The sequence below is a fragment of the Homo sapiens genome, chromosome 3 (assembly GCF_000001405.40).
Source record: "Homo sapiens chromosome 3, GRCh38.p14 Primary Assembly".
Taxonomy (NCBI): domain Eukaryota; kingdom Metazoa; phylum Chordata; class Mammalia; order Primates; family Hominidae; genus Homo; species Homo sapiens.
The window spans coordinates 3,840,938-3,850,267 of NC_000003.12; the positions used below are offsets into that span (position 1 = coordinate 3,840,938).

The window sequence follows — 9,330 nt, forward strand, 5'->3', positions numbered from 1 at the left end:
AGTCTCTCACACAACTTTAATACATATTTTACTTCTTGGTACATTTCCTTACATTCAATAGAAACATAAAAATTAGTTGAGGCTGGGTGCGGTGGCTCACACCTGTAATCCCAGCACTTTGGGAGGCCGAAGTGGACGGATAACGAAGTCAGGAGATCCAGACCATCCTGGCTAATGTGGCAAAACCTTGTCTCTACTGAAAATACAATTAGGTGTGGTGGCACGTGCCTGTAGTCCCAGCTACTCACAAGGCTAAGGCAGGAGAATTGCTTAAACCCGGGAGGCAGAGGTTGCAGTGAGCCGAGATCGCACCACTGCACTCCAGCCTGGGCGACAGAGCGAGACTTTGTCTCAAAAAAAAAAAAAAAAAATTAGTTGAAATTCTGTCTCAGTTATGAAAGGTAGCTTTATTCTTTTGGTTTTCTATTTTGAGTTATGACTGAGAAATAACCTGTGGCAGAGGTTTTCTTAACAATGTATTGTGGCCAGTGCACCTGTTTCAAGATTACTCTAAACAGAAACAAGAGTGAAATAAATTTGTGGAGTTAATAATAAAAATGTTATTCTCTGTGGTATGTTTTCTTTTCTTTTGTTTTTTTAAGACAGGGTCTTGCTCTGTTGCCCAGGCTGGAGTGCAGTGGCGCCATCTTGGCTCACTGCAACCTCTGCCTCCCAGGTTCAAGCGATTCTCCTGCCTCAGGCCCCTGAGTAGCTGGGATTACAGGCACGTACCACCACGCCTAGCTAATTTTTATATTTTTAGTAGAGACAGGGTTTCACCATGTTGGTCATGTTGGTCTCGAACTCCTGACCTCATGATCTGCCCCCTGCCAGCCTCCCACAGTGCTGGGATTACAGGCGTGAGCCACCGCGCCCGGCCTGTATTTTTTCATTTCATAGAATTTCCAGATAAAAGTCAGAGTCAACTAGTTTTATAATACTGAAAAGTTTTGCAAATACAAGCATGTCACTTAATGATGGGGATGTGTTCTGAGAAATGTGTCATTAGGTGATTCCGTCATTGTGCAAATGTCATAGAGTATACTTACATAAACCTAGGTGGTATGTAGCCTATATGATATATGTGGCTTATATGATATACCCTATTGCTCCTAGGCTGCAAACCTGTATAGCATGTTACTATCCTGAAGTCAATGGGCAATTGTAACACAATGGCAAGTATTTGTGTATTGAAACATAAGGGTATAGTAAAAATATGGTACTATTAATACAACTGTATGGGACTACCATTGTATATGCGGTCCATCATTGGCCAAACTTTCTTTATGGTGGCACAAGACTACATAATAAATGGTAAAGTAACCAGACTTGGAGATGGGGAGGAGGGAGAAGAATGCCAAATGTATGTTTCCTCCCACAGACTAGCAGGCATCTAGTATCAGGCAACACACTTATACAATCATTTCCTACTCCTGTCTCACACTTGCCAGAATCTGGATTTAATTTTTTTTTTTTATTGTTAGACCAGTAATGCAGTTTTCATATTTTGTATAACAAAAAAGTTGTAGGACTTTTCCTTCTTACTGTGAAAATATGACTCATTAAATACATAACTTTTAGTATTGGCCATTTGTATTCTTATACTCTTAGTCACAAAGATAACTACGTTTTACAAAGTCGAAAGGTTAATAATAGCAGCTAGCATGAATTCAGAGCTTGCTATGTATTGAGCACTGGGTTTAAACACATATGCTCTATTTTATTAAGTCCTTATAGTAGGAAAGTGAAGAATACACTAGTCACTGAAGTTCCTTCAGTGCTCAAGACTCAAGTGCACTATAGCAAGACAAACACCAGGAAACATGTAACTCTGCTTCGAATACTTTAGCAAGTGAATGGCCCAGTTTGGGAAAGCAAGACAAACACTGGATCCATAATGGCTTTTTACACCTGATTGGAATGCAGAAAAAATGGAACCACTAACTACTAATATTATCTTTGCCAGCAGGTGAGCAGTACATACCTGACTTCAGAGGATTTTATTGAAACCAATAGATGATGGTTAATAAAAACAAATATCCTCAGCTTTCCTTCTTTTACTTGTCATCTGACAACCACTATTTAGCTAAAACTAAAATGGATTAGAGATACAAGATGATGAATAACAATTATTAACTTTTGTGAGCATATAATGTGAGTCAGCTACTACACTAAGAACTTTACATAGATTCCCTTAATTTTCTCAATAATCCTATGAGAACTGTCCTTGTATGAGCAACCCCATTTTATAGCTGAAGATACTTGAGGCTTCAAGAGGTTATATAAACATGTTCATGGTCAACAGTTATTAAGCAGTGAGTGACATTCTCACGAGATTAATGAGATCATCTGTGTGAGATACAAATACATCTATTGTGTATGTTTGTGTTTTTAATGGAGACCAATGGTATGACAGAATGAAGTCCTTTTATCAGTCAGTCAAGATCTGATGTGGCTATTCAAATATAGGCAAAACTGATGTTTTCCTTTTTTAGTTAAGTTAAATGTAATATTTAAATAACTGTGAATATTTAGAATATTCACAGAATTGTGCAACCATCACCACAATCTTTAGAATATTTTCATCATCTCAAAAAGATACTTTGTAGCCTTTAGCACCCTTCCCACTGTACCCCCCCCCATACCCCTGGCCATAGGCAACTACTAAATTACTTTCTGTCCCTGCAGGTTGTCCTATTCTGGATACTTTGTATATGTGGAATCATAAAATAGGTGATCTTTTATGACTGGCATCTTTCAAGCATGTTTTTGATATTTTCATCCATGTTGTAGGATATTAAATTAACTTTTTGCATAGGAATAACTGAGCTAGAAAAGCATTGGCTGAATATGTCTGCAGAATGTAGCATTTAGAAAAGAAAGACTTCCAGGAGACAAATGAGGTAGTAACTAAAATGTAAATAACTAAAAATTAGCTTTGAGTCTTTAATAAACTACCTTTCATGTTTTGCTTTCACTAGGAATGAACTTTTAATTTTTTGGAGCTATAAATACATGTAGTTTCTAAAGACATCTTTGTTTTTAAAGAAAAGACATCTGCAGGCTTTTTCTTAGTGTTCCTATTAAGTATGTATGAGTGTGTGCATTTGTGTGTGTGTGTGTGCATGTTTAGTGACTTTACATGTGTATACATACAAATGTACACAGTCATATATGACTAGTGGTACATGGAATCTCAATTTAATTGTAAAAGTGAAGGAGTTCTAAAACTAGTTTTAGTATAGTAAGTGGGATATAGTAAGAATGTCCTACAATTTAAAAGCTTATTTGGTTATCTTCAATGGATTTTGAATGTATTCAATACTAGATTTGCGAGTGACTATGCCTTTTTAGTAAACAAAAGAAAGGCTATAATGTAGAAAGTATATGGAATAAGCATAACATCTGTCCTAATCTAATTTTCAGGCACATCTCCAGACTTCAATTTGGCTGAAATAATTCATGCCACGGACCTGTGCACATGCCTGGAATTGAGAGACACAGTTAAAAGACTCCAAGTTGCTTTCTGCCTTTTGAAAACTCCTGAAAACCATCCCTTTGGACTCTGGAATTCTACACAGCTCAACCAAGACTTTGCTTGAATGTTTACATTTTCTGCTCGCTGTCCTACATATCACAATATAGTGTTCACGTTTTGTTAAAACTTTGGGGTGTCAGGAGTTGAGCTTGCTCAGCAAGCCAGCATGGCTAGGATGAGCTTTGTTATAGCAGCTTGCCAATTGGTGCTGGGCCTACTAATGACTTCATTAACCGAGTCTTCCATACAGAATAGTGAGTGTCCACAACTTTGCGTATGTGAAATTCGTCCCTGGTTTACCCCACAGTCAACTTACAGAGAAGCCACCACTGTTGATTGCAATGACCTCCGCTTAACAAGGATTCCCAGTAACCTCTCTAGTGACACACAAGTGCTTCTCTTACAGAGCAATAACATCGCAAAGACTGTGGATGAGCTGCAGCAGCTTTTCAACTTGACTGAACTAGATTTCTCCCAAAACAACTTTACTAACATTAAGGAGGTCGGGCTGGCAAACCTAACCCAGCTCACAACGCTGCATTTGGAGGAAAATCAGATTACCGAGATGACTGATTACTGTCTACAAGACCTCAGCAACCTTCAAGAACTCTACATCAACCACAACCAAATTAGCACTATTTCTGCTCATGCTTTTGCAGGCTTAAAAAATCTATTAAGGCTCCACCTGAACTCCAACAAATTGAAAGTTATTGATAGTCGCTGGTTTGATTCTACACCCAACCTGGAAATTCTCATGATCGGAGAAAACCCTGTGATTGGAATTCTGGATATGAACTTCAAACCCCTCGCAAATTTGAGAAGCTTAGTTTTGGCAGGAATGTATCTCACTGATATTCCTGGAAATGCTTTGGTGGGTCTGGATAGCCTTGAGAGCCTGTCTTTTTATGATAACAAACTGGTTAAAGTCCCTCAACTTGCCCTGCAAAAAGTTCCAAATTTGAAATTCTTAGACCTCAACAAAAACCCCATTCACAAAATCCAAGAAGGGGACTTCAAAAATATGCTTCGGTTAAAAGAACTGGGAATCAACAATATGGGCGAGCTCGTTTCTGTCGACCGCTATGCCCTGGATAACTTGCCTGAACTCACAAAGCTGGAAGCCACCAATAACCCTAAACTCTCTTACATCCACCGCTTGGCTTTCCGAAGTGTCCCTGCTCTGGAAAGCTTGATGCTGAACAACAATGCCTTGAATGCCATTTACCAAAAGACAGTCGAATCCCTCCCCAATCTGCGTGAGATCAGTATCCATAGCAATCCCCTCAGGTGTGACTGTGTGATCCACTGGATTAACTCCAACAAAACCAACATCCGCTTCATGGAGCCCCTGTCCATGTTCTGTGCCATGCCGCCCGAATATAAAGGGCACCAGGTGAAGGAAGTTTTAATCCAGGATTCGAGTGAACAGTGCCTCCCAATGATATCTCACGACAGCTTCCCAAATCGTTTAAACGTGGATATCGGCACGACGGTTTTCCTAGACTGTCGAGCCATGGCTGAGCCAGAACCTGAAATTTACTGGGTCACTCCCATTGGAAATAAGATAACTGTGGAAACCCTTTCAGATAAATACAAGCTAAGTAGCGAAGGTACCTTGGAAATATCTAACATACAAATTGAAGACTCAGGAAGATACACATGTGTTGCCCAGAATGTCCAAGGGGCAGACACTCGGGTGGCAACAATTAAGGTTAATGGGACCCTTCTGGATGGTACCCAGGTGCTAAAAATATACGTCAAGCAGACAGAATCCCATTCCATCTTAGTGTCCTGGAAAGTTAATTCCAATGTCATGACGTCAAACTTAAAATGGTCGTCTGCCACCATGAAGATTGATAACCCTCACATAACATATACTGCCAGGGTCCCAGTCGATGTCCATGAATACAACCTAACGCATCTGCAGCCTTCCACAGATTATGAAGTGTGTCTCACAGTGTCCAATATTCATCAGCAGACTCAAAAGTCATGCGTAAATGTCACAACCAAAAATGCCGCCTTCGCAGTGGACATCTCTGATCAAGAAACCAGTACAGCCCTTGCTGCAGTAATGGGGTCTATGTTTGCCGTCATTAGCCTTGCGTCCATTGCTGTGTACTTTGCCAAAAGATTTAAGAGAAAAAACTACCACCACTCATTAAAAAAGTATATGCAAAAAACCTCTTCAATCCCACTAAATGAGCTGTACCCACCACTCATTAACCTCTGGGAAGGTGACAGCGAGAAAGACAAAGATGGTTCTGCAGACACCAAGCCAACCCAGGTCGACACATCCAGAAGCTATTACATGTGGTAACTCAGAGGATATTTTGCTTCTGGTAGTAAGGAGCACAAAGACGTTTTTGCTTTATTCTGCAAAAGTGAACAAGTTGAAGACTTTTGTATTTTTGACTTTGCTAGTTTGTGGCAGAGTGGAGAGGACGGGTGGATATTTCAAATTTTTTTAGTATAGCGTATCGCAAGGGTTTGACACGGCTGCCAGCGACTCTAGGCTTCCAGTCTGTGTTTGGTTTTTATTCTTATCATTATTATGATTGTTATTATATTATTATTTTATTTTAGTTGTTGTGCTAAACTCAATAATGCTGTTCTAACTACAGTGCTCAATAAAATGATTAATGACAGGATGGGGTTCCCCTGTGCTTTTACCAGTAGCATGACCCCTTCTGAAGCCATCCGTAGAAAGTACTTTGTCCTCCAAAAAGCTAACATACGGTTTTGAAGCAGCATTGAAACTTTTGTAGCAATCTGGTCTATAGACTTTTAACTCAAGAAGCTAAGGCTAGACTTGTTACCTTCGTTGAATGATGTTAGTTGACTGTACTGTAATGTTGTATCAACTGAATTGAATGTTTGCCTTTAAACAATGAATTTTCTTTTTCTTTCCTTTTTTTTTTTTTTGTTGTAATAGTTAAAGAGGCTTAGAACAAGCTAACAGGCAATAGAAATATGTATATCAGATTTTTTAATGTAACAAACTACATGTTAATTGTTATCTTATTCTTTTTATCTTTAGTAGACACTTTTAAAAGAAAAGACAAGTTTGTTGTGTTTAACTCACCAACACGTGGTGTATAATGAAGACAGAACTATAATAAATTAGTTTTGTTCTGATTTTTTAGAACACTTGCAATAATGTATCATTTATAGTTCTTGCTAGTTGCAGTGGTAATATTTTTCACATCCATAAAAACAACTACCAAAATAAATCAGCTGTAGCATGTTGCTTTTTAAAGCTAGGCCCTAAAAGGTTTTAATTCTTTTTCTAAGGGAAGAAATGTCTATTTTAATTAAGATATTTTAATGAACAGGATTTCTGTATTTTAAATAGTACTGACTAGCACCTAATGGGCAGTGGGAGGGTGGTTCATATGAAGAAAAAAAGGTGTATTGTTGTATCCCATGCATAAATAAAGGTAAATATATATATACACCAATATATTCATATATACTCACACACATCCCAACCTGTCACACACAATGCGTGTGTATATATATATGAATATATTGGATATGTCATTTCTGTAAGAGTTTTGTTAAAACCTGATTTTCTTTTGTAGTATCCACATTCTTCATCAAAGTACAAAAACGTCTGTGGAGTGTCACAAACTGTATGACATGTTATTTCTTTTTAACAGTTGTCTATATGCTTAGACCCGTGTTAGTCTCTATATCTGTGTGGCAATATCTGCTGAGACAAGTAAATGATTAATAGAAAACAAAACAACTTCCGTACAGTTCAAACTTTTCATCCAAATATATATAGACAGTTTTGGAGAATTGTTTCAAGATTATAGAGGAAACATGTAACATTTAGAGCAGATGGAACTAGGTTTAGGTAGAAGGCCAGTTCCACAAAGGGCAGAGGGAGGGATGGGATTTAATAGGTAAAGAAGAACCCATTTGAAAATAAAGGTTGTTTCAAAAGGCAGCTGCCGCCAGGCACACAGCATTCCATCAGACAGGTGCCAGACAAGCAAAAGCAAGGAAGTTGGCAGAAAGAAAGTCCAGGTGATGTAGGTTGAGGTATTTCTTTCTTTGGCAGTATCTTGCTTTTGTGAATCACTTTATTAAAAAAAATCACTTTCTTCCCATTCTTAAGGGGTTTTGGCAAACAGAATTTCAGATCTTGAAACAAATGAGCTGCAACAGAAAAATAAGTACCTGAGCTCGAGGTATCCCTTCCCAAAGCCTTCACTTATTGGTGAGAAAAACCTGGGCCCAGGGAGGGCTTGCAGCTTACCCAGTTCGGACTCCTGCCAGTTCAGCGCTCTGCACTCCATTGATTGTTCTAGGCCCGGCAGCCTGTTAGGTTCCTGTGCAGGGCCCCTCTTTTGCAGTTCTGAATAACCTCTAGTGCCCCTGCTTCAAAAATGCAGTACATCCTCAAGTTCCCATTTACTCAGGATACATTTTAGCACAGGGCAGATCAGACGGTGTCTCTACTGTTAGTATTGCAAAGTATGTATGGGAAACACAGAGAATTGGAGCTGCGTTGAATGCAAACTTGAGGTGTTTCCCTTGAGGAATTCTTGTCTTCAAACGTCTGCAGAGTAATGGACCATGTTACAACTTTCCTGTTCATCTGTGAACCATGAAAATGGATGGCACTGATGCATTAGACCCTCAGCAGCCTGCAATTGCAAATCTGCGAGGTTTCATTCGGCCCATAAAGCAAACATTTGAACTTACACAGAATGAGCACTTAAATACGGGTGCAATAAATGAAGGGAAAAACCTCAGCCGTTTCTCCATTCTGAAGATATAGCAAGCACCGGGAAATCTAAGATTTTTCATCAACAATATCTTCTGCCAGCCCAGTTTGGGGGGAAAAACCCCTTTTACATTTTTCTTCAGTAAAGTACTGGAACTTACTTTTCCCTGTCTGTGCTAATGAGCTGATTTTCAGCTGATAGAAAACAAAATGATAGAGTACTTTTTTCCTTGGCCAAGTATTTTCTCATTTGTATTTAATTTCATAAATTAGACAGCCAGTGAAATTAGACCTCAAACTAGGTCCTGATGGATAATGAATGTTATGTCACCTTTAACAGTGAAGTGGTTATTATAGGTCACTTTCTAATTTCATATTTTCCCTTTTGCTTTCTGCTGCCTTCAGGGTATATAGTGTATCTCTAACCTGATTTTTCAAGGTTATTTTTGGAGCAGTTTCTTAAAACAGGCATTCCCTAACTTGCTCATTTAATTAATGAAAAATTGAACTGATGCCATGGATATAAAAACAAATGTAATGTTTGATTGTCAGTGTTTCTGATTTGGCAAAAAGGAATCATCTCTATTTTTTTGCAAACAATATCAAAGTGCATATTTTCTCTCATGTGGTTTCTATTTATTCAATCATTCATTTGTTTGCTAAGGACGCCATAGTCAACCCTTTACTTGGTGTTTGTTTTCTATTTCTGTATTCATTTTCCAAGGCATTTTCTTTTCTTTATTACTGTTTTCACCATTGGTGGGGTAGGGGGAAGCATTTTATATCTCCAACAGTTTGCTGGGAAAAACCACACTTTTTCCCTTTCTATTCACTGGAAAGGGAAATGTAACTACTTCTGAAGCATTCTAAGTACAACTGGAAATGCTTTCTTCACCTCAGTTCTTTCACTCTCGCCTTGCTTGCAAATAGACTTTTTTATTGTTATTCAAAAGGGATTAGCTTGGAAGAAAAAAAAATGTTTCTTTAAAGATTGGTGATTCAGAATCACCATCCGGAGGTCTAGAATAATTTTGGCCTGGAATCTCTGCAGGACTTG

At 38.5% G+C, this 9,330-nt stretch overlaps 1 protein-coding gene across 4 annotated transcripts in view; it reads left to right on the top strand.

Annotated features, from left to right (window-relative positions):
• Nucleotides 1-8,897, top strand: part of LRRN1 (leucine rich repeat neuronal 1) — a 50,404-nt gene extending 41,507 nt beyond the window's left edge. For all 4 annotated transcript variants that reach the window (NM_001324188.2, NM_001324189.2, NM_020873.7 and 1 more), the window contains one exon: nucleotides 3,427-8,897. In NM_001324188.2, the coding sequence (NP_001311117.1) occupies nucleotides 3,705-5,855 (2,151 nt within the window). In that variant the 5' untranslated portion in view covers nucleotides 3,427-3,704 and the 3' untranslated portion in view covers nucleotides 5,856-8,897. The remainder of the gene's footprint in view (nucleotides 1-3,426) is intronic.
• Nucleotides 8,898-9,330: the final 433 nt, after the last annotated feature.